We start from the raw sequence: 26224 nt of genomic DNA on the forward strand, positions 1-26224 counted from the left end.
GAGCCTGCCAAACAGCCGGCCTGTGGGGAGAGCCACCCTCAAGCCTGGAAGCTTCATGGGACTTCTGGAAGCCACCCAGCCAGCCTTCCCATGTGGCTGCCTTAGCTGCCCTCCCAGACACCAGCTGACATGGGGGCCTCTTTCAGTCCTTGTGAAAGAGCAGCAACTGTGTGGACTGGACCCATTCCCATCCCTGTACCTAGCTTCTCTTCAACAAAAGGGACTGTTTATGCACCCATGGACAAAAGCTACCTACGACCCCATAAGTTATTCCCAGCTGCCCACAAAAAGGAGAGAAATACACCTTTATGTCCACTGGAACAATGTCTCTGGAATTCAGCTCAAGAAACATTCTTGGTGAAAAGTTCAGTTCTAACAAGATCATGTCTACAAGGTACCCTCTGGATAGATGCCCATAGGTTTCCACCTGATGCCAAATTCCAAACAGCTTCCCATGTTTCCCTGCCGTACACCCTAAGTTGCTTTTCTTGGGTATCCACTTGGCTTTGCTCTCCTTCCTCCCCTCTTGACCCTTACACTGGCATTAAGGAATACAAAAGCTGAGGAAGGCCTGGAGGAGAAAGGGAAGTTGAGTCAGAATGCCTTCATGAGCTTGGGGGCAGAACTGGGGCCTTTACTTTCACTAAAAGCCACTGATGATGCCCATTTTCAGGGGAGCGCCATCGGCTCTTTCCACCTGTGCAGCAGGTCCATCTCTGGGGTGAGCACTTGTCCCATCCAGGCTCCTGGAGGATGTGTGCCTTCTAGCTAGAGTCATCTGTCCAGTTCTCAGCATCTCGACAGCTGGAATTGTCTGCTACCTGACATGCTGACTAAATCTACCAGAATCCCAGAACTGAGCAAACAGCCTGGTCGAACAGGCTGTATGAGCAATATGCTAACATTAATGCTAATAATCATAGGTAATACATAGTGCTTACTATGTGCCATCCAGTGCTCTAGAAACATAACATATAGTGGCTCATTTAATCTTCCTCACAAACTCATGAAGTAGGTAATTGTCATGCTTATTTTACAGAAACAAGAAGAGGATTCTCCCCTTGTCCCAGAGGTGAACCTCCTGGGCTTCAAAATTGGCTCTTATAAAAATGAGTTCTCCTTTTGCCTGAGAGGAGGAGGAAAAAACATCAAGGATTTTGAAAGGGGTTTGTTTATTCAGGTAGGGTCCAAGAAATGTATAAAACAAACTCCAGCAACATTTACTTATGATTATGAACCCAGGGGATGCTTCCTTGTCCCTCTAGACCACCATAATTGTGAAGTCCCAGTGATGTTATTTTATTAAAAAAACTTTTCACAGGTGTGGTTTTTCAAAGCTGGGGACTCTTAGTTCAATGTTCTTTCAGAAGGCATGTGAATTATAATAGAAAATTAAATTCCATTCTCAATAGTTGAAGGATTGAATACATTATACTGCCTTTTCATTCTCTGAAAGTTAATAATCTTTCACAGTAAAACTGTGCTGTAAAACATTGACCACTTAGCTCATAGTAGGTGCACAGTATGAGTTTATTGAACTGTGCTGATGGTATGTGATGAGTACAGTGTGACTATAAAGCAACGCAATAGTAAGGCCAAGTGCAGTGGCGCATGCCTGTAATCCCAGGACTTTGGGAGGCCCTTGGGAAGGATCCCTTGGGCCCAGGAGTTCAAGACCAGCCTGAACAACATGGTAAGATCCTGTCTCTACAAAAAAAAAAAAAATTATTTTTTAATCAGCCAAGCATGGTGGTGCATGCGTATAGCCCCAGCTACTCGGGAGGCTGAGGTGGGAGGATCACTTGAGCCCAAGAGGTCAAGGCTGCAGTGAGCCGTGATTGTGCCACTGTACTCCAGCCTGGGCGACACAGCAAGACTGCCTCAATAAATGAATGAATGAATGAATGAATGAATGAATGAATGAATGAAATAGTATTTAACAAACACACCTTTTTTCCCAGTCAAATGAGTATTATTCCTCCAACTTTTCCCCTTAGGAGGTGATGCACTTATTCCAACAGCGCTGCCACTGCTCAAGTGCTCTGGGCTGTCGCTGCTGGGGTGCTCTTTTCAGAGCCAGTGGAACAGCCCCACTGTAGCATATTCCTCTTGCCATTTTGCACCTCCAATGGCATCGCAAAGCTCAGCTTCAAACGGAGCTTTCTATTCCAAAGACAAGGTGTCCATTTGAATACATAGTCTTGGCCCCACTGGTAAAGGCCATGCTCCAGGCTCTAAAGAAGATTGACCAAAGCAGCTGCAGCAATGCCAACACATTCAGGTAAGAAGGTGGCTTCCCAAGGTGACTGTCTCAAAGGGGCAAACACTCATGTGGTTGACTAGGTTATGATGTGTTGGTCAGAAGGAATAAAGTCAGATAACTTTATAGTCACATCTTATATATAGGACCCCTCTATTACGAAAATACTTAACTCAACAGAATATCTACTTGTCAAGTACTGTCAGATAAGAGTTGATTCCTTCCAAGTATCCTGACTGATCACCCATTTCCAAAGACCTAAGCAAACTGAGGATGTCCCTGTCTCTGAGCCTTCATTCCTTCTGTTCTTCCTTTCAATAATTCCTTCTGTCCTTTCATTCTCCTCTGTATTCCCATCTTTCTCTCAAAGCCCCTCCAGAAGCCTACTGTGCTTGAGCTCATAGCTCTTCTTGCTCTGAACTTCTTTTTTTTTGTTGTTTATTTTTGAGACAGGATCTTGCTCTGTCACCGAGGCTGGAGTGGCATGACTGTAGATCACTGCAGCCTTGATCTACCAGGCTCAAGCCATCCTCCCACCTCAGCCTCCCAAAGTTCTAGGATTACAAGTGTGAGCCACTGCGCCTATCCTAAACTTGTTTCTGTGGGGATAACTCACCAGGTGCTCATCCTAAATCACCTTCCACTTTCTGCCTTTTGTGTTTAAAATTGCCCAAGCTCCACTACTGACTCCTTGAGGGAAGGGAGAGTAACTAGCCCCTTCTTGGCCATGGACCATGGCTCTTTTATGGGCAAGGATGAAAGAAGAAAGTCTTGGAGGAGAGAGGAGGGAGGATGGAGACAGAGGATTCCTTTGGTACAGCCCTGCCCTCCCATGACCCAGTAAACCACTCCCTCTGGGTCACCTCCTGATCTTCCTTCCTGATGCATCCATGGGCCCTTCCTTTTGGGAATCCTCTACGCTTTGGTCTTCTTAGGCATCCTACAGCAGCCCCTGACATCCTTCGACCCTGGGCAGTCCCAACTTGGGCCCTGGTCTTCCACTTGCCCTTTTCCCCACTCTCCCTTCCCCAGAACTCAGCCCACAGGCAGAGACAGTCCTGGGACCCAGGCTGGTCCTGCTTACCCCCTCCCCTGCCTAAGGCCAAACTCATATATCCAGTCTTTTGCTGTCCTGCAAGTCTTGTGCTGGACCCTGTCTGAGGATCACAAGTAGACAGCTGGAGCACGAGCAGCCTCCAAAACCCCCAAATCATTGGCAAAGCCCAGGAGCCTTTGTTTTTTCTCCTGATTGATATCTATCATCTTCTCTGAAGAAAGTGTCTTCATTAGAAGGTAGTGGGCTCTCAAATCAGTTGCAGGGACTTCCCTGCTTCCTCTAAGTAATGTTAAGAGTGCTTCTCCCCTTCCTCAAGTATCTCCCCAGCTGCTGCTCTTCGCTTCTCCATCTTCTTAATTTCCCTTGAGCCATTATATCTGATATGGCTTAATCTCATACCCTTTACACCAAAGAGAAAAGAAAAGAGAAACTCGCCTAGCTAAACTACTTCAATTTTTAGTTTAAGGTACAAAGGATTAACCTAGAATTCAAAAGGGACAACCTCAACTTTTCTCCCTTCTCCCAGACCACCTAACAGGAAGCAAAACTAGGTGGGAGGATTTTCTCTTATAAAAAATGTATGTGTTTCCTTTGCTGGTATATATGCAACTAAAAAAAAAATTCACGTGTATAAAAACACACTGATACCCACAGGGATTTCCTCTGTGTTGCTTTCAATCTAGCTCCTCTTGGGAGATGTAGGTGTGAAGTGAGGGAATGGGGTTTCTCTGACTGTCCCTCAGGTGTTAGGACTGCAGTTGCTGAAGCAATGAAGCGTGAATGAAGTGTGGCATTTCAGCCATACTTGGACTTCCCTGAGTTCTTTCATGATCTGAATCCCTACCCCCAGGGCTGAGAATTGCGCAGGGCACTTAGGAGCAAATGGTTAGAAGCCACGGCAGCTCCCGTGAAAAGTCCTTGCTGAAGCTAAGAGCAGGCTGCAGTGAGGAACTAGCTCCACAGGGCCTGGCCAAGGACAGGGCTGTCTGCTGGCAGGGAGGCGGGCGGACAGAGGCTGCCATTACATTGGGTGCATTCGCGGACTCCACGGCTCCCCAGCAAGTACCTTAATGAATGCTTCCATACTGCCGTTAAAGAGTTTATGGCTATACACTGAGAGAGGCCTAGGTCTCCTCATTTTCTGTGGTTTAGGGGGAAGACAGGGGGGCCTAGGGGAAAACGGAACAAAAGAAATCAAGAAAGCAACCAACATAAACATACAACTGGGAAAGATGCTCTTAAAACCCACGACTAAAGGGGAACACAAAATGTAAATGGAAGCCCCTGACCCCCCGCCAAGACATTGGTTTCCAATGTTCCATCTGAAGGCCTTTGGATGTTTTAGGGGACCTTAATTTACCCACAATGCCAAGCAGGAGCAACTCTTACATAACTCAAATGCATTCTAAATCTTAGGGGGAATATAGTACATGTGCAAGAAACCACTGAAACTCCAATCAGAGGCTGTCATCCTGCAAAGCTGACCAGATGGAGGGGGAATCAGGGGAGAGAGATGTAATCTGTAGCCCGAGAAAGCAAGAGACTTTCAAAAATGATTGTGAGGGTTAATTTTCATTATTTTGGTTTAAATTTATCACCAAGTCTCAACTCCCAATGTACCAGGGCACTGATCTTCCTAATGCCTCTTGGCATTTCAAATGCACTTGACTGATCTTTACTTCATTGATCTAAGAGCCAGGCAATTACTATTCTCATTTCAGAGATGAAGAAACTGATGCCATGAGGGAGGCTGCAACTTCTTTGGGGTCCCTGGGTGACCCCAGGATAATGGTAATATCCTGCTCTTTAGTCAAGTACACTTTCTTTTCTTTCTTTTTTTTTTTTTTCCTTTTTCTTTGAGACGGAGTCTTGCCCTGTCGCCCAGGCTGGGGTGCAATGGCATGATCTCAGCTGACCGCAACCTCTGCCTCCCAGGTTCAAGCGATTCTCCTGCCTCAGCCTCCCGAGTAGCTGGGATTACAGGCATGTACCACGACACCCAGCTAATTTTTTGTATCTTTAGTAGAGACAGGGTTTCACCATGTTGGCCAGGCTGGTCTTGAACTCCTGACGTCGTGATCTGCCCGCCTTGGCCTCCCAAAGTGCTGAGATTACAGGCATGAGCCTCCTTACCCAGCCTCAAGTACATTTTCAATTAAAGCACTTTCAAATCCATTATTATACTTAATACCATCTCAACCCTGTGCATGTGGCCCCATTTTACAGAGGCAGAGACTGAAGCCTCCTGTGAAGGAGAACTGACAGAGCTGGAGCCCAAACCCAGGACTCTTTGGCTCCAAGTTCAGGGCTTTTCCTACCAGGCCACCATCATGGAGCCTTAGGGCACTTTTTTATTTCCAGCCAAGGACTCATCTACCCCAGTAACCTTTGCCATGGGATCAGGTTGAAAGTGTCTTGCTTTACTTTAGGATTTCCATTCCTAAAGTGTGCTCCACTCTTGGCCACAGGGAGGGGTAACCACACCACAGTTCACCAGAGAAACAGCCACAAACACTGGACCCGTTTCCAGAATTGCTCACCATGCATATACCTGTGTTGGCTTATTTGCTCATTTCACCACACAAGTTGGCCTGACTCAATGGTGCCAGCCTTCTGGGGCAAAGGCCTTTTGAAGGTTAAGAAGAGGGCCCCTAACCAAGAGAGGCAGTTCATTTTCAAATGGCTTGGTTCAAAATTTGGGTAGCAACAAGTGGGGACTCAGCCAGGCACAGATAATGTCCACACATGACAAGCAAAGACCTGGTCCCCCAAGTCTTGATTGATTTCTGTGAGCGGGCAAGAAATCTTCCAGACTATGCAGCCAATCAGGATTAATGAGATTCATGCTGCCTCTGCTGACTGGGCTTGTGGTACCTGTCTCCTTCGGTAAGCCAGCCATCCCCAGGGACCTCTAACCAACTTCTCCTAGGTGTTTGAGTATTGAGCAAATGCTGCTAGCTCCAGTACATGCATGGGCAAAAACCAGGTGAATCCAAATATCATGCCACCCAAACAATGGAAACAAAATAACAGCACAGATCAAAATTTTGAAAAGAAACAACAGGCAAGATTCTTTCAAGCCCATCTTGGATCTATGTCAATTTGGTTAGCTAAGTCCATGTCATTTATTTTTCAAAAATTACTTATTTTTTTTTGAGGATGTATGTATGTGGGGTGGGATTTCTTACAAGAGCTGCTCTTAAATTTTCAAATACCAAAGGCAAAAGAGAGTGTCAAAAATGTGACACAAGGCCAAAGGTTTTAAGTTTGGGGATTAGAAATAACTTGATGATAGCAACATTGTCACCCTGTTTTCATAGTGTTTGGCTTGTTTTTGAACATTCCCAGATCATTTCCTTATCACATTGCATGACAACCTCACAACAACCCTGTGAGGCTGGGAAAGAATATTCAATTCACTTTACATACAAGGCCAGTGAGCCCACAAAAGATGAAGAAACTTGCCTAAGGTCACACAAATAAAATGTGATTGAGGCTGGTGGTAAAATTCAGCTCTTCCTACTCTCAAGGATCTAGTGTGAGTATGAAAGTGATTTTATCATAGAACATCCAGAAGTAACATTAAATTATCTGTTAAATTCTCATGGCCAGGAAGAGCGGAGACTCTAAAAGCAGGTGTTGGACACTCAATATCAAAAAACCTACGGTGCCCAACTGGAGGGTTTCCTTAAAAGAAAGTCCTAAGTGTTTTTTGTTTTTTCTTAAATTCTACAAAGTGGAAAAAAGGGGAAATAGCATATGTTTTCCCATTTTTCCTGCCCAATCCAGAAAGCAAAGGACTGTGTGAATCACACGAGGATTTCTTTCTTTGTGTGGTGCTCTGTGCACTGTCTGGAATCTCTGACAAGGAAACGTAGCTATCCCAACTTTGCACAATATCAAATCTATATCGACTTACTGAAGTGCTGGGTGGGGCACAAAGTGGGGAGCAGGGGGGCAGCTCGGCCAAGGAAAGTGGGGCAGCCTAAGCCTTCCATCTCTTCTGCTGCTCAGATGCAGAGCAAAAAGGAAAGAAAGAAAGAAAGAGAGGCAGGGAAAACAGGAACAGAGAAAGCCACAGAGAGGAAGAAAGAGAAACCAGAGACCAATGTCCCCTTTCTGCCTTTTAATCAAGATGAAAATTAACACACGTTGGCAACACAGGAAATAGCCTCAAAATTATCCTGCAACTAAAGGGATGTGATGAAAAATTCCCCTAGATAACCTAATAGACTTGGAGGTCAACATCCCAAATGGTGGCAATGCTGTAGGGCAATGCCAGTCGGGCCCTTGGAGGCTATTCATGGGCTGTGTACTGCGTTGCATCTGCCTGAACAAGATCTCAAGTGATTTCACCTCTAATCCAGACCACGAGGGCATGTCAACCTGGGTAAGGGGAGCCAGACATTCATTTGAATCACAATAATCAAACCTTATATTTGCATCTTGCTTTGACATTTGCAATACGCTTTTAAACTTAAGTGCATTATCACATCTGGCCATCCTGAATTACAGGGTTATTATGAATTTGGTCTATTCTAAGATAAGGTTCTGAAGTGTGAGAAAAATATAACATGCTGCAGCCCATATGCAACACCAGTTCCTCTATACAAGGTCAACAGCAACTTAGCTGAGGGGATCCTGCTCAAATAACCATCCAGAAATGATATCCACCTCGTGTGGGAGTCCATGGAAGATACAGAGAGAGCCATAGGACAGAGACATTGTTAGCAACAATTTCCACAAGTTAAATCATGATTTTGGAGGTAAGGGGAGACTTTTAGTTTACTAACAAAGTTGTCTTTGACCTTGACCAGGAACCAGAGTACACAGGGCTATGTCTGCAATTGAACGCAGGGTAGCTGCAGTTGAATGCAGGGTGTCTAAGTGGGAGGTCTGATAAACTCAGCTTGGATTTCCCAGGCCCTAGGTCAAGGAGGGTGTGGAAGACAACACTTCAGAGGGCTTTATTTAAAACACAAAACAAAACAAAACAAAACAAAACAAAACACACAAACCCTCAACTTTCCCCTGAGGGAAGACCCTGAGACCTGGCCAAGTGTTTGATTACAGATCTCCTCTCCCACACTCTGCTGGAACAAACTTCTCTGCGTGAGTTCTAGGAATTAGGAGGAAGTGAGGGACAGCTCAATTCATCCCCCATCTGTTTCACTATTTGCAGAATTTGGTGTAAAATACAGCTTCTGTTGTTTTGAGACTATGACAACATTCTCTCGCCAGAAAAGAAAAAAAAATTATAATGGGTTCGTTTCTAAAAGGTTCTTCGAAAGTGACCCTGCACATCTGCCGCCCCGTGTGCTGGAAGGGCCTTGCCTGGTGTGAATCATCCTGATGTTTCCAAATTGCCAGAGCCCAGAGGAACAGCTGTACGGGCTGAACTTCTGCCAAGCCCTCCGTCTCCCCATCCTGAGCCCAGGAAACTGAAAACCCCAGAGGTTGCCAAGACTTTGCCCAACTCCCTTCCCAAGGAGCAGGAGAGAGTTGGGAGTTCATCTTTGCTCTTGCCAAACATGAGGGCTTCCCAGGATTTGGGGCCACTGGAAAGCATTTGTGGGAAAAGAAAGAATGCCCTCAGGTCCCTGGGCCCAGAAAGTGAGGCAAAAAGTAGCGCTCTACTGCCGTGTGATGGAAAAGTGCAGGCCTCTGGGCCACTGGCTGAATTCCAGCTAGGCAGTGCAATATCTCTTAATAGGAACATAGAAATGAAATAGGCTCTAAGCAAACAACCTGGCCAGTGACAGAGCCACTTATGGATCTAAGCTCTCTGAAAGGGAAGTAAAGTCAGCCCCTGGGCTATCAGCTGCTGAGTGGAAAGTGTTCACTGGCTCTGGTCTGCTCAGGAAAAAGCGCAAAAGGGAATGTTGAACAAGCTGAAGAGAAAGCAGAAGTTGCCCGTGTGTTACTTTCCGTCAGCTCATCCAAGTGCCCGTGAGGTCCAAGCTAGGGTGTGGACGGCAGGAGAGTCTGTGCACGCCTATGCACATGCGTGTGCCCAGCTGCGCGCAATCTGAGCCTGGCCCAAAGCCTTGGTACATGGGGACCTCAGGCTGGGCCTCGCAGCATGGCTGGGCAGTTTGCTCAGCATGGTGTAGCAGGTGGGAAGAGAGGTCAACAGCCACCCCACAGCCTCTGGCCCCTACAGGCTGCCCTCAGCCACTCTGAGTAGACAATACTGTCTCACCCGATGGCCAGCGCAAAGGGAGGGTGCCCCACTGCCACACAGCAGCCCCAAAAGCGCCCCTTCCATCGCCAGCCTGGAGGGGCGTGGCTTTGTCAGTCTAATGCTAGAACAAGCAAAGCAGCAACTGTGCCTCACCTGGGCACACCCACACCGGCCCTTGGGGACATTGGTGAAGAAGCCATCCCTGCTTCTCCAGCTCCTGGCAGTGCCTCCCCAGCCCCATCCCACTCCCACCTCGGGCAGCAGATGAAAGAAAACACAACTCTCCCACTCTCACCTGGTGGTGCCGCATTCTGCTCTTTCCCCTGCAAAGAAAAGTATACATGAATGTTTAATTGCCTTTTCTTTTTAATCCAAAGAACATTCATCTTTTTCTAAAAACAAAATACAATGAGTCTTAATTATTTATGAAATATGAAATCTAATTATGCCTAAGGTGCGGTCTGTTGAAAAGAACTGCGTCTTATTAATTCTTCATTAAAAGCCTCCTGTTTGTAGGGCTGTGTTCACACACACATTATTGTTCACAGACATATTTTCAGTGATTCTCAAACTACAGCCCGCTGACCACTTGCATCAGAAACATCTGGGGGTCTTGTTAAAGATGCAGATTTCTTGGCTGTCTCATGGGTCTTCTGAATCAGAATCTCTGAGATAAAAACCCAGAAATCTGCATTTTAACTACCACCCCTGGTGATCACTTCTATGCCTCCCAAAGTTCAAAAACTCCTGCAATGTTTAATGGCAACAAAGATTGACCGAGCCCCTGTTGTATGCCTGGCACTGAAGGATACCAGCCGTAAGGCTGGTGCTCCTCCACCCTGCTGCCCTGCCTCTGCCTTCATTCCCAGCTGAAGATCTTCTCATTTTCTTTACTGGAAAAGAAAATCAAGTACTATGGGTTCTCCATGTGCATGCCTCCACGAGGCCCTCCCACCTACCTGCCAGACAAAGCCCAGACCTTCTCCTTATGCCCTGGTTCCATCCCCTCTGTCCTTCTGGGGGCCTTAGTTTCTGCAGGTATCTCCCCTCTCGCTAGCATCACCAATCTCCTCTCTTCTGGACCATTTCCAACAGCATATCAACATGTTCTGGATATGCATGACCTAGCTTTTAACCCTTCTGTTGACCCCATTTCTCCTTCCAGCTACATCCTCATTTCTCTGCTCTTCTTTACAGCACAATTCCCTGAAGGAGATGTCTGGAGGCACTACTGCTTCCTCCCCTGCTATTCCCTCCTCACCTCTTTGCAGCTAGGCTTCTGTCCTCATCCCTGGGCTGACACTGCTCTTGTCAAGGTCAACACTTAAGGGCAACAAGGATCTCCTTGAGGCTGAATCCAATGGTCTTCTCTGTCCTTATCGTACCTGACCTCTCCGCACCATGCTGCTCAGTTCACGACTCCCTTCTTACAAAGCTCTCTACTCTTCACTTTCATGACTCCACACTTTCCAGGTGTTCTTCCTGCCCTACAAGTTCCTCAGTTTCTCCTGTCTCCTCCTCATTCTGCCCAACCTCAAACCTCAAAATGTTGGAGTGCCATCAGGACACAGACCCAGGGCTGCTTTCCTTTTCTACACATCCTCTCTAAGTGACCGCAAGTGCTTACCAAGGACTCCCTACTCTATGTCCAGATCTTACGCTTCCCTAGAATTCCAAACTCAGATGCACTGCAATCTTTTATAAAAATAGCATAACTGAGGTATAATTTATATATCATAAAATTTACCCATTTGGAGTGTATAATTCAGTGATTTTTAGTGACTATTCAAAGTTATGCAACCCTCACCAGAATTCAGTTTGAAAATATTTCCATCCCCAGAAAAAGATCTTTCATGCCCACTAATAGTCACTCCCTGTTCCTGCCTCCGGCCCCTGGCAACCCTAATCTACTCTCTGTCTCTACAGATTTGCGTAGTCGAGACATTTTATATAGATGGAATTATACAAGATGTGGTCTTCTGCATCTGGCTTCTTTCACTTAGCATAAAGCTTTTGAGGTCTATCCATATAGTACGGTTTAGTAATTCATTTCTTCATATGACTTGGTAATATTCCATCATATGCACAGACCACATTTTCTTTATCCACTCAACACAAATTGCCTTCTTTTATCTCAAACCTTAAATGTTTCCCATAGCACTCTTTCTTTCTATGCCCCAAACCTACTTTCACCCAAGTCTTCAATATCTCAATAAGTGGATATCCACCTCCCCTCTTCTTTAAGCCAGAAGTCTAACAGGTGCTCTCCTTGAAAACTGTCTTTCCTTCATAAATTAAATTTGTCCACTTCTCTCCACTTAACACTATCTTCTTAGTCCATGCCATGCTTGTCTCTTACCTGGACGACTTTCTTTTTAACTGGGTCTCCTATTCCACTACCATCCATTCTTGCCTCAGCAGCCAAGCAATCTCTTTAAACTGTAAATCAGATCATGTCCTTCCCTTGCTTAGAACCCTCCAATAACCTCTCATCGCACAAGGGACAAAATCCAGACCTCTTACTCTGTTTTATAAACCCTTTGAGGTCAGAGTAGACCCTTCAAAATGCTACTCCATCTCCTCAGGCTGCTTTCTCCTTTGTGTGCTCTGCTACAGATGCAGAGGCCTCTGTGTGGTCCTCAAGTAGGCGTTTGCATTTGCTGCCTGGAATTCTCTTGCTCCCAACACTTGCATGGCTCATTTCACCTTGTCTTTTGGGTCTCAACTTAAAAGCTGTGTCCAGAGACAAGCTTCCTCTATCTTTATTATTTATTTTATTTTTATTCTATTCTATTCTATTTTATATTATTTTATTTATTTTAGACTCTGTTGTCCGCTCAGGCTGGAGTGCAGTGGTGCAATCACAGCTCACTGCAACCTCAGTCTCCTGGGCTCAAGCAATCCTCCTGCCTCAGCCTCTTGAGTAGCTGGGACCACAGGCACATACCACCACACCCAGCTATTTTTTTCTAGTAGAGATGAGGTCTTACTATGTTGCCCAGGCTTCTTCCTCTATCTAAAGCACACACTTGTCTCTTTATATCACGTTTCTCTATTTAAATTATCAATACATGTAGCTTATCATTAATATTTTTCTTACTTATTATTTGTTTACTTGTCCACTGCCAGTCTATCTCCATTGGAAAATACTGTGTTCTGTGAGAGAAGGAATCTTGTCAGTTCTTAAAACTGCGCTGACACCAAGGTCTTGGGCAGTGTTTGGCACAAAGTATATGCTCAACAAATATTTGTAGAATGAGTGAATGAATGAACAAGTGCTCTATCTGCAAGAAGCTTAGTACCAAATGAGTCAATAAGCAGATTACACGATAGTGTAATAAGTGCTGCAGCACAATTGTACACAGGGTGTCATTCCTGTCACAACAGATGAGCAAATGGACTTGGAGATATGGAGTGACTTTCCCAAGTCCCTGCTAAGTGTAGAGTCTGGATTCCAATCCAGGTTGCCTAACTTCAAGTCTAAGTTTACCCAGGGAAGCTGGTTCCACCTCCACAAACACAAGGTGAGGGAGAACAGATGTCCCCAGCAGTATATGCCTCCGACCCAGGGACTCCCTGAAGGCAGCATTTGGCTTCTTATAATATCCCCTCTTCAGGGATGCCACACATTAGAGGACAGCTGCCTTGGCAAGGGTATGGCACTCAAAATGAAGAGATTAAATAATATCTTTTCCTTCTCCTACCAAAACTGTACTGAAAACAAAGAGGTCTGAGTCCTACTGTTTAACTCTTTTATCAACTCACTGCGTGAGCTTGGACAAGCCACTTCCTTTCTTTGGGCCTCCATATCCTCAGTTTAAATTCTTCATTGCCTGTCTAGTACTTTGCAGATGCTGACATCCCTAGATCTCACTCACCAACTACCAGCAGTACTGTCCCCAGTCATGGCTCCAAAAATGCTCTCCGTTTCCTAATATTCTCAAGAACTGCTTCCAGTTCAGAATCTCTGAAACCAGTGCCATCTAGTAGAAATTTATACAAGCCACAATTTCTGGTAGCCACATTACAAAACGTTAAGAGAAACAGATGAGGCTGGGAGTGGTGACTCGTGCCCGTAATCCCAGCACTTTCGGAGGCCGACGTGGGTGAATCACTTGAGGTCAGGAGTTTGAGACCAGCCTGGCCAACATGGTGAAACCCCATCTCTACTAAAAACAGAAAAATCAGCTGGGCGTGGTGGCGGACACCTGTAATCCCGGCTACTCGGGAGGCTAAGACACAAGAATCGCTTGAACCCAGGAGTTGGAGGTTACAATAAGCTGAGATTGTGCCACTGCACTCCAGCCTGGGACCCCCAGAGCTAGACGCCATCTCAAAAAAAAAAAAAAAAGAGAGAGAGAGAAATAAGTGAGATTAATTTTCATGACATATTACATTTGACCTAATATCAAAAAGATTATAATTTTGATATGTGTCAATATAGAAAATCAATAAGATATTTTCTATTTTGTGTGTATGTGTGTACTAACTCTTCAAAATCTGGTGTTCATTTTGCACATCCCAATTCAGACTAGCCATGTTTCAAGTGTTCATCAGGCACACATGGCTAGTGGCCACCATACTGGACAGCACAGCTCTCAACTCTGGAATCCCACCTAGCACTAACATTAAAAGACTTTTAGAAGAAAGAATCGAGCATTTTATTTACAGAAAAAAAAAAAAAAGGCAGAATAGGGCCAGGGAGGGAAATAAGGAGAGGAAGAGAGTAATCTGGGTCTGAAAATAGAACTTGGGGCAAATCAACAGGCAACTCCTTAATTCCTGAGCAAAGCCACAAGCAGTTACATGGGTGGCTGCAGTTGGTGGAATTGGAACCAAAGACCAAAGCAGGAAAGGAGAAAAGTTCGGTAAAACAGGCAAATTTGTCCTGTTTGATTTGACTGTGTGTCTGGAGTCAAGGGCAAATTCCTACCAGACACCAGTTTGGATAAAATTTTCAGGTAGACACAAGCCCTCCTGTTAGAGCTGATGGCAGCCCATGAAAGTGGTCAGGCGATGGCCTGGGATTGTAGTGAACAAGGAGTGTTGATTTCCTGTTCCCCCTCCTCTGGGTTCCCAAACCGTCCACTCTTCTGTGTACTCAACAAGTTACAATACCCTTCTCTCAATTCTTCTGACTCACCACATCCTTTCCCGCATTTGCAAATGTTGTCCCCTCTTCCCCAAAAACTCTTTCCCTGGTTTTTCACTTGGCTGATGTCTTCTCATCCTTTAGTTTCAGCTGAAACAGCAACTCCCCTAGGAAGCCTCTCTGATCACCCTATCTAAAGCAGGTCCCCCCCATCTCTCCCAAACACACACACCATTGTTCTCTATCTCAGCCCAAAGTTTTCATTCATGGCACTTAACACAATTATAATTCCCACCCCCAGCTGTTTTTTAAGAGACAGAGACTTGCTCTGTCGCCCAGGCTGGAAAGCAGTGGCGTGATCTTGGCTCACTGCAGCCTCCACTGCCTGGCCTCAAGTGATTCTCCTGCCTCAGCCTCCTGAGTAGCTGGGATTACAGGGCCACCACCACACCGGGCTCAATTATCATTGTTTACTTAGTAGTTTGTTTACCGTTTGAGGTCTCTCTTTTCCATGAGGGCAGGGACCTTACCTTTCTCGTGTACCACTATCTCCCCAGGCCTGGCCAAACAAAATGCCTGCGCTCTTGGATAGATGGGTGAACAGAAGGGGGCAGGTAGAAATCAAAGGTTTTAGGATGTGGAGTGGAATGTCAGAACACACTGAAGGAAAACTTTTCTCTGACGTGGAATCTAATATGCTGTCTTTCAGCTTCAGACTCACATTCCAGCTCTCAAGAATCCCACAACCAGCATCTTTAGAAACAGGGTGACTGTCTCACAAATATGGGAAATCAAAACTTGCCTATCCTTTACCTTCTGAGACCTGTTGGGATTTTAAAAATATATTTTATAGTTGGTGGTTCAGTAATTTTCTAGAAAGTCAGATGGCCTGGTCCTGGTGGCCATTTTGCTCTGTGATGGGCAATTAAAGTTGGCATGAAAAGGTCATGCTCCTTCCCTTTTATAGGTGGCACACTGTTCATTCATGCTTGAGGGACTTTCAAAAATTCAAAAACCAACCGCATCTTGAGTGTAAACCCTGGAGCTTACAGAATACCCACACCCCAGAGCAATAAAAAGGTTATAAGTCTAAGACTCAGAGATGATGATAAACTGAGAATTCTCTGGCCAATAAAATGGCATAGCAACAGCCAAGGTATGTGCTCTTGCTCCCGAGAAGCGCCAGTGACATCCTTTGTAACAGGGAATGCCATTTGCCAAGCACCTGGAAGCTTTTTGACTTGCATGTCTGGGGTCAATCATGTTCTCAAATCCACTTTTAAGTAAAGCTGACCCAAAAGACCTTGGGTTTCATCTAACTTGTAGTTTCCTTGAGCCATCCTGTCAAAAGAGTACAGCAGTCCACGCTTATCTGTGGGGAATATGTTCCAAGACCCCCAGTGGATGCCTGAAACTGTGGATAGTACCAAATCCTACATGTCCTCTGTTTTTTCAATCTGATAACCAAGGCAGCTACTAAGTGGCCAGTGGGCGGGTACCATATCCAGAGTGGATATGCAGGACAAAGGGAGGAATCACATCCTGGCAGAGATGGAGCCGCGATGGCGTAAGATTTTTGCTCAGCAAAGAAATTTGCTCAGCGTGCTCATCATGCTACTCAGAACAGCGAGAAATTTAAAACGTATGAATTGTTTATTTCGGGAATTTTCCATTTCATATTTTCAGGCCACAGATAACCACAAGAAACTGAAACCATGGAAAGCGAAACCACAAATAAAGAAGGGCTACTGTACTTTACAGAAACTGAGGCACTAGACATGATACTACAAAATAGCCCTCATACGGCATAAAAAGGCCACTGACGCAGCTGTAACGCTACCCTACTCTTAGAAGAGAATCCTACTGAATAGAAGAACCAAAACGCTCAGGAAAAGGTGAATCACCAGTTGACACTAAGAAGGATGAATTTGCTAAGATTCTGAGCTCTCTTTGGCCTGCTGAATTTTTTCCCTTCTTCCTTCACCCAATGGGCAATTTCCAATTGATCAATTTATCAATTAGGTCAGTGGAAATTCTCCCTTTTCACCCAGTGCCCTAAGAATCTACCTGTATCTTTATCGTGTAGTGGCTATATAAAAATGACTGGAGATTTGGTCTCAATTTATTCAGGGTCCATCTTTTTCAGTTATTCAGTAATTTGTTAACTTCAGTTAATAATAATGTACCATATTCATTAATGCTGACAAATATAGCATACTAATGTAAAATGTTAATAACAGGACAAACTAGATGTGGAGTATATGAAAACTTTATACTATCTTCCCAACTTTTCTGTAGCTCTAAAACTGTTTTAAAAGAGAAAGTTTACTTTAAAAAAAAAAAAAAAAAACTTCTGTAGAACTGACCAGTCTATCAAGAACCATCCATTTGTCAAAGGAAGCGCAGTGAGCCTCTCCACGGCCAGCTTACTGAAACACAGGATTACGGAGACTCTTCCAGTTGGCTTTTTCTTAGCTGCCCCTCTACTTCTGAAAATGCATTTTCCGGGAGGTTTTTTTTTATTGCTAATCAGCTCAAAACTCAGAAGAGAGACTGGTAGAGCAATCTTAGAGCAAGGCGTAGTTGAAGGCTAAATAAACTTGGAGGACCAAATGGACCAGGAGTTATGCCAAAACTAAGTATGGTGATAATGATGATGATGATGATGATGATGATGATTGATGATGACCGTCATCATCAATCATCATCATTTGAGTTGGGAACACAAAGCAAGCCCCCCCGGAGAATGGCGGCAATGAAAGCTGCCTTTGTCAGATAAGGGCCGCAGGAAGACAAAGCAAAGGGCCTCTTTATTCATCAAAGCTCCACTATGCTTCTGCACCAAGAAGGCGTGGGCAGGCCACTGCACCAGGCCCAGGATCGTATTTTTTAAAAGAAGATCTAGTTTTCCAAATTCAGCATCTAATTTCAAAAATGCAAGTAGCCACCAACTCATATGGTCCTACCTTTTGGTTAACTGGCTCATGAGGAATAGCCCCCTGCCCTGTGCCTATAAATACCAACCCTCCTCTTTAATGCTAGTCTTAGAAGCTGCCCCCATGGCACCCACACCCTGAGCTCCACTCTTGGACTCTCTCCCTTTCTCCTCCATTCTCACTGTTTTTCTTCCCTCTTTGCTACCCAAACTCCTCCACACCCCCTTTACCCGCTGGCCCAATACTGAAATGTCGGGATGGGTAAAATTTAGAGGGAAAGAATGAAGAAAAAGCTCACTGCAACTGAGTCTTCCCCCCTCCTACCCCCTAGTCAATGAGTTTTAACAAATGTCTACCCCCAAGTATAACCACCACTCAAAGCAGGATATGGAGCTTTTATTTCCGTCAGCCCCCAAAGTTCCCCAGCCCTTACTACCTAGAACACACAAAACTAATCTGCAGTGACAGAAATCAGATCAGAGTAGAGTGTGGGGTGCTGACTGCAAAGGAGCACGAGGGAATTTTTGAGGGTGACTGAAATGCTCTACCCCCTGATTTGGGTGGTGGTTGCCCATGCAGATGCAAAGGCCCTGGGGCAGGAATAAGCTTGGTGAGTCCTGAAGGGCAGAAATTTGCTCAGCATGGCTGCGGCACAGTAAGGAAAGGGAGAATGACTGATGAGGTCAGGGAAGCAGGCAGAAGCTAAGTGGTATAAGGCCTCATGTGCCGTGACAGCAGCTGGGATTTTATTCCAACTGCCACTGGAATGCATTGAGTGGCTTTAAGCCTAGTTGTCAGGTCCCTCGAGGGCCAAACCCTGACTTACATGTATGGATTTTCCTTCTCTGGACCTAGAACCCTAGCCAGACACTCCAGTAGTATTCCTTGCAAATAGTGTCTGCTGAAAAATGTCAGTGCCAGCCTCTGAGGCCCTGGATTCCCACTCCCTACCTGATGGATGCCCCTCTATCACTTTGCCTTGGACTGTCCCTGCCAACCTAAACTAAGACTTGTGGTTGGCCTCTATTTTCTTTTCTTTTCTTTTTTTTTTTGGAGATGGAGTCTCGCTCTGTCGCCCAGGCTGGAGTGCAGTGGCATGATCTCGGCTCACTGCAAGCTCTGCCTCCTGGGTTCACGCCATTCTCCTGCCTCAGCCTCCCGAGTAGCTGGGACTACAGGCGCCCGCCACCACGCCCGGCTAATTTTTTGTATTTTTTTAGTAGAGACGGGGTTTCACCGTATTAGCCAGGATGGTCTCGATCTCCTGACCTCGTGATCCGCCCACCTCAGCATCCCAAAGTGCTGGGATTACAGGCGTGAGCCACCGTGCCCAGCCTCTATTTTCTTTATTTTATTTTTTTTCTTTCTATTAATCAAAAAGCAACTCACACCCTCTATTTTCTATAGCCAGATTGGACCCCACAAGGCATCTGTACCAAGGTGATTTTCCCAGCCTGCCCAGTCCTGGTAAGTCCAGGTTCATTCTGCCAGGTGCCTGCTGTCTCAAGCCTGAACAGCTCAACACGTCAGGGGGCCACAGTGAGAGCCAGTGGGGAACGCAGCACCTCCCAGAGGGCCTCCACCAGCCCACTCACCTTCGCCCAGGGTCTGCTTGAGTAAATCGTGCTTGGCCTGCAGCTTGGTGATGAGGTTACTGCCATTCACATACTCTTTAAATTTCTGTAAGACACAAGGCACAAGGAAGTTATAGATTGCAAGGCCGAGTAATGGGATCTCTGCCTCTGCAACTGACCTCTGGGACACGGAAGCCGAACAGAGATCACGTCACCCGCAGGGACCCCGGCGCAGGGAACAGAGAGGCCTCTGCATCTGCGTCTTTGCTTTCCTCCATCTAGAACCCCAGCGCTGACAGGCGGAGGCCAGGCCCTTGGAGGGCTCCAGGCCTTTCAGGTCGGGGGTTAGGAACACAAAGCAAACCAGGGGAGAATGGCAGCAGTGAAAGCTGCCTTTGTCAGGTAAGGGCCACGGGGAGACAAAGCAAAGGGCCTCTTTAGTCATCAAAGCTCCACTGTGCTTCTGCGCCAAGAGCAATAAAAATGGGAGCCGTCCCAGGGGCCACGCAGCCGAAGCTAGGGAGCTTTATCGGATCTGTCAGAGAGGAGCCTCGGAACGAGTCTTCCTTTCATCTGGCCCCACTTTGAAGGAGGAGGGGCTTGCAGGCCCCTGAGAGGCTTTCCCATTAAAATAACCCAAACTGCAGGGGGTGATAAGATTTTCTTCTTTGTACAGATGAGAAAAATGAAGCTTGCACCAGGAAGTGATTTGTCCAAGGTCCCACGGAAAGTCAGCCATGGGCCAGGCCTAACCCCAGCCTGCTTCCTAGTTCAGGGCTCTGGCCCAGAGCAGTGCACCTCAGAGCAGTACTGAGGGACAGAGAATAGGCCAGGACAGAAACACACCTACCTGCCTGGAACTCAGTGGGCCTTAGCCACCTCTACACAGGTGCCAGCTTCCCCCACCTGCACTGTCACAGAGCCCCACTGGGCATGCCTCTGCTGCATGGCCAGCTGCTAGAGGGTGGGCTCCAAGCCCAGCTCATCTCCAGCTCCCCAGTGCCTAAAGCTGTGACTGGCTTAGAGTAGGTGCTGAGAAATTTCACTGGATCCCTCCCTCTTGAAGCTTACGTGGTGGGCTGGGGAGGGAGACAATAAACGAACAAAAAAGGTAAATAAAATACCACTCAGTCAGGCGGTGGTGAATGCTACGGATAAAAAGAAAGCAGAGCTGAGCACGGTGACTCACACCTGTAATTCCAGCTGCTCAGGAGGCTGAGGTGAGAGGATTGCTGAAGGCCTGAAGTTCAAGACAAGCCTGGGCAACATAGCAAGACCAAGTCTCTAAAAAAATAAGTTTAAAAAACTAGCTAGGCCTGGGGGTGTGTGCTGTGGTGCCAGCTACTCAGGAGGCCAAGGTGAGAGAATCACTTGAGCCCAGGAGGTTGAGGCTGTAGTGAGCTATGTTCATGCCACTGCACTCCATCCTAAGCAACAGAGTGAGACCCTATCTCCACAAAAAAATAAATAAATCAAATAAAGTGGGAACAGTGGACTGGAAGTCTAGAAGACCTCACTGCAAAGTGGACATTTGAGCCAAGGCCTGAAGGAGGTAGAAAGGGGGCCACATGGGGACCTGCGGGAAGGAGGTTTACAAGCAAGGGGTACAGTAATTGCAACAGCCCTGAGAATAAAGTGAAGGAGGTAGATGTGCCTGCCCCAAATCCACCTGCTAGTTTCTCAAAGAGAAACCCACTCTATTGTCCCAGCCAGCACACTAAAAAGGGGGCAGAGAAAAGTGAGCTGCAGAGGCTCAGACACCCCCAAGTCAACTATAGAGGAGGGCCTCTAACATCACCACCTTCCCATTGACAGCTATGGGGGAAAGACCCACTGGGGTAGGGGCTGACACATACACAAATAAGACTGGGGTCACCTCACACTGGCCCACCTTGATGGGTTTCTGGAACGACTGGGCTGGTGGGAGGTTGTGGTGTCCTCTCTCCTTTTCCATGGTCCTAGGCTCCCAGGACCTGGCCTATTGGCCATTAAGAGTCACTCGACTTGTATCCACAGAGCACTTGACAGTTTTCACACACGTACGTTTAAGCCTCATCAGAGTCTTGGATGGCAAATGGGGAAAACATCATCAGGCCCCTTCTACCCAGAAGGAAACAGAAGCTCAGAACTGTGGTCACTCACTGGGTACCTCGGGCAGATTACCGAGCATTTCTGAGCCTCCCTGTCCTCCCCAGTGTAAACTGAGAGTAGACTCAGTGTTTCTCCAAGTGTGGGGCAGAGGGCCAGGGGCTTGTAACCAGCTGGGGAGACTGTCAACACGCAAATTCCTGTTCTAGAATAACTCGAGTCTAACCCTTCATTTGACACTGGAGGAGGAACCAGTGAGGCCCAGAAGTGTTCACAATTCCAGTTGCCCATCTTGGGAGAGTGGTGGTCTGAGAACCTACTTTTTTTTTTTTTTTAGGTAAGGTCTGGCTCTATTGCCCAGGCTGGAGTGCAGTAGTACGATGTTGGCTCACTGCAATCTCTGCCTCCCAGGCTCAAGCCATGCTCCCAAGTAGCTGGGACTACAGGCACACGCCAGCCAAGTAGCTGGGACCTCAGCCTCCCAAGTAGCTGGGACCTCAGCCTCCCAAGTAGCTGGGACTACAGCCACACACCACCATGGCCAGCTAATTTTTGTATTTCTTGTAGAGATGGGGTTTTGCCATGTTGCCCACGCTGGTCATGAACTCACGAGCTCAAGCAATCTGCACACCTCGGTTCCCAAAGTGTTGGGATTACAGGCATGAGCCACTGCGCCTGGCTGAGAACCTGCATTTTTAACAAGCTTCCCAGATGGTTCAAATGCACACTTCAGTTTGGTAACTACTGTCCTAGAGGCTCTCTATAGATGCTTCCAGCAATAATGTCCTCTCATTTTATCTCCTGTCCAAGAATTCCCCAAAAAAGCAGAGCTGAGGGGTAAGCTGATATTCTGTCCACCGTGTCTCACTGCTCCAAGAAGTTGAAGATGTAATCCCAAATGCCTAACTCATGCCTTGGCAGGTCATCCACTGGTTAGCGCAAATTACAGCCTGGGGCTCTGTAGCTCATCTCTGTCCGCCTCATTTAAGCTTCAACCACCTGAAGAACAACGAATGTCCGCAAAATAAAGAATGCCATCAAATTGCATTGATGTTTGCATTGAAAGGATTACGATGTCCTTAAAAAGACCTAAAATAATGAGTCATGAGAAGGTATACTAGGAAACCAGGTTAGCAAACTAAGTATTAAGAATAAACTATAACATCTGATGACCATTAGTCATAGATACTGGAGAATTCTCCTAACTTCGAGTAGGCCAAACTCCCTTCTTGAATTCTGTTCCCCAGAATTCTTTGCTTCTACTGCCAAAGTGAATTAATCTTCATGTGCATGTTGTAACCACAAATTCTCTTTGTGAACACCGTAGGCTCCATGGAAGTGGTGAATACCAGCAATCAGCGTGGGCTGCTTTGCTAAGCTCCGCTTTGTTTTCTTCCTTGACAGGGTCAAAGAGTGTTGGAGAAAATGTAGTGTGTATCGACTACTGGTTTTTGACAAGGGATTTGACAAAGGCAGTTATAAGATGGAGGTGGAAGTTAGAATTGGGTGGGTTTGTGATGGGTTAAATGACTACAATCCAATCAATATTAGCCTCATTGCTTTTTTTTTTTTTTTTTTTTTTTTTTTTTGAGACAGTCTCACTCTGTCACCCAGCCTGGAGTGCAGTGGTACAATCACAGTTCACTGCAGTCTCAACCTCCCAGGCTCAAGTAATCCTTCCACCTCACCCTCCTGAATAGCTGGGACCATAGATATGCACTTGTATTTTTCTTTGTAGAAATGGAGTCGTCCTATGTTGCCGAAGCTGGTCTCAAACTCCTGGGCTAAAGGGATCCTCCTACTCGGCCTCCCAAAGTGCTAGGATTTTAGGCATGAGCCATGGCACCTGGCCCTAGCTGCATATTTTTAACAACTCTGTCTTTGGCCTTGGCCTTGGTATACCCATTAGTCTTTAAATTGATTAAAGTTTGGAAGCCATGCTTACTGAATCTGCAGGTGACACAGGTTTGAGGAGACAGCACGTATGCTGAGTAACTGGATCAGGATGTTGACTAAAACCATGAATTGAATTCATCAAGAGGAAAACTAACTGGTGATAAACAGAAGACCTGCCCAAGATATCCCCTACAAAGCCTTAGGAAGAGTGAGGCCTGGTTAATGGCAGCATGTAGGGAAGACAGCTATAACTGATAATAACTTAGCCTTAAAATAATAATAAAAGAATATGATCTTAGAACATATGAATAGGAGCATAGTACCCGGTATAGAAGGGGTGAAAATTTTGCTCAATTCTTTTTTTTTTTTTTTTTTTTTGAGATGAAGTCTCGCTCTGTCACCCAGGCTGGAGGCAGTGGCACGATCTTGGCTCACTGCAACCTCCACTTCCCAGGTTCAAGCAATTCTCCTGCCTCAGCCTCCCAAGTAGCTGGGACTACAGGTGCACGCCACCACACCCAGCTAATTTTTTGTATTTTAGTAGAGACGGGTTTTCACCGTGTTGCCCAGGCTGGTCTAGAACTCCTGAGCTCAGGCAATCTGCCTGCCTTGGCCTCCCAAAGTGCTCGGATTACAGGCGTAAGCCACGGTGCCCGGCCAATTTTGCTCAGTTCTGTGTTGGGCATACCACTGCTCGGAGTCTCACCTTAGAAGAGGCATCAGCACATGGAACATGTTCAGGAGAGAGTCACTAGGATACTGAGGCTACTCAAAACAAAAGCTTATAAGGCAAGACTGAAAGAATCAAATACATTTAGCCTAGAGAAATGAAATCCCAGCTCCCTGCAACCATGTGAAACACTGCCATGTAGAATTAGCCTCCACTCTGGGTGGCCCCAGAGAACAGAACCAAGAAATCCTAGTGAGGTAGGTTTTTGAAGATAGCAAAGATAAAGGAAAACATGGTAATACCAAAAGCCAGGCACAATGCAAACAAAAGGGCTGTCTGGGGAAAAAGGGAGATTTTAATCTTGGGAGCAATCAGGCAGAGTCAGGATGGCCCCTGGTCAGGGATGTGGCTGAACTGACTCAAGCATCCCATGGAAGATTTAAGGTCCCTTACAAACCTAATATTCTATGTTCAGTAAACACATGTTGAACTAAAGCCCCAGTCCCCGTCTCCTTTCTCCTCCCAGTCCCTGTCCAAATGAAAGATAATTAACATGGGATTTTACATGAAGGGCTAGCAACTCAAGAGCAATTTGCTTGGATTTTTGAGGGCATTTTTTCCAAAGCTCACACCTAAATTTAAGACAATTCAACATGATAATCTATATACATAATTTCAAGGTTGTTCCTTGGGACTTGTACCTGACTCTGTCAGCCATTTTCTTATCACCCCACTGAATAAAACTGTCTCTGGTTTTTTTCTAGAGCAAGAAAATTTCAATAATCATCACCCAAGATCAATGCCAATGCTACCCATTGGGAATTCACTTTCTGCATTTCAGAAAACCAAGCCAGGCAACTTAATTTTAAAAGCATGGTGATGGAGTCTTAGATCCAATTGACCCATGTGGTTTCTCTGGTTCTCAGTAGCTTGGGTTGCTCCTGAAAAGTCACTGCCAGTGGCTTGGCCGACAGTGTGGTTCTGGGCCCAGGATGCCACTTACTGTAAAATAAAACATTTCTGTTTCCTGCTGGTTGGCTCTCCTCTTGGCAATGTTGATCTTGCTCATGTAGGTCTCAGAGGCAGCCGACTTGACGGACTCTGTCGATCGACTGTGTTGGAAGGCATCGGAGACATCAAAGTCCTCCACAGTCAGCATGTCCTGTAATGTCTGCATGGTGGCATCCAGGGTTTTCCTAACCTGGGGAAACACAGCAGATTGACAAAAATCCTGTATTCTCATACTGCCGTTGACACCTAAAGTCCCTTTCCCAGCTGTCACTTTACTTCTTCCATATGAAGTCCCTAGGATATAGGCAGAACAAAAATAATCCTTCTCACTGTATTAATGTGGAAAACACAAATTAGTCACCAACCCAAAATCACACAGCTGGCTGGGATGAAAAGCCAGGTTGCCCAATTTAAAGATATTTTATCGTATGGCTTCTGCCAGAGAGAACCTTGAGGAATGTTGCAACAAATGAGGAACCCAGGTTTCTAGGTTTGTTTCTCTTAGCCTAATTATGTAACTCAAAACAAGTTCCTCCAATGCAAGGTGGTCAGTTGAGTAGGGACAACATTAGATGTGCTCTAGTTCTCTTCATTCAGAGAAGGATAGAGACAAAGTTGACAATGGTGGGCAGCCATTCTTCGTGCAACAAACTCTCCAGGTATCTGCTACTGGACTCCTATCAAAAGCCCAGCTGAGAAAAGGAAAACTCCAGGAAGACAGTTGCTGAGGCACACATTGTTCAGCTAGGACTCCAGTTTTTTCTTCTGGAATTTCGTGGGACCACCAGAAGCCTGCACAAGCAGGGCCCACGGGCCCTGACCTTACAACACCCCTTTGCTGAACTGTGCCTAAAAGGCAGATTCTTTGCTCTGGAGGCTGGTTCCAAAAACAGTCCCTGGAAAAACTGCCTCCAGTGTTTGTTATAAAATTATTGTCACTCAAAGTCTGTTTCTTTTCACTCAGACCTCAGCTTAAATGTCACCTCCTGGTGACATTGGTCCCCCCGATATCTTCACTCAGTGCCTATTACTGTCTAATATTTTCCAAGCTCATTCATTTCTTGGCTTCTTTTTGTGTTTCATAAATGAAAAATAAAATTCTAAGCCCCCAGCCATCTGAATGGACCTCTCCTCTCAGTCAGGGGCATTCCAAAGTTAACCTGAAAAACTAGTTCAGGCCATGATGGGAAGGGGGCGGCAAACCTACTTCATTATACCCTCCTCCTTTTTGGAATTACTGTTAGAACAGACTCTTTAAGTCTGATAGAAACATTTACAGCCTATCCTCTGAAGCCTACAACCGGGAGGCTTCATCTCTATGATAAAACCTTAGTCTGCACAACCCCTTATCTTAACCCAGACATTCCTTTCTTTAGACAATAACTTAACTCTTTCAACCAACTGTCAATCAGAAAATCTTTGAATCTGCCTATGACCTGAAAGCCCCTGCTTCCAG

The 26224-nt window shown here is 45.9% G+C and overlaps 1 protein-coding gene across 16 annotated transcripts in view; it reads right to left on the bottom strand.

The window, feature by feature from the left end:
• Positions 1 to 26224, bottom strand: part of SRGAP3 (SLIT-ROBO Rho GTPase activating protein 3) — a 382437-nt gene that overhangs the window by 47676 nt on the left and 308537 nt on the right. For 6 of the 16 annotated variants that reach the window (XM_047449335.1, XM_047449333.1, XM_047449334.1 and 3 more), the window contains 4 exons: positions 24761 to 24958; positions 19125 to 19209; positions 9797 to 9824; positions 4384 to 4486 (listed from right to left, as the gene is read on the bottom strand). In XM_047449335.1, the coding sequence (XP_047305291.1) occupies positions 4384 to 4486; positions 9797 to 9824; positions 19125 to 19209; positions 24761 to 24958 (414 nt within the window). Of the gene's footprint in view, positions 1 to 4383; positions 4487 to 7236; positions 7324 to 9796; positions 9825 to 19124; positions 19210 to 24760; positions 24959 to 26224 lie in introns of those variants that run through there. The other 10 variants (XM_024453843.2, XM_024453842.2, XM_011534295.3 and 7 more) reach the window with 3 other exon arrangements.

Source organism: Homo sapiens, chromosome 3 (assembly GCF_000001405.40).
Source record: "Homo sapiens chromosome 3, GRCh38.p14 Primary Assembly".
NCBI classification, from domain to species: domain Eukaryota; kingdom Metazoa; phylum Chordata; class Mammalia; order Primates; family Hominidae; genus Homo; species Homo sapiens.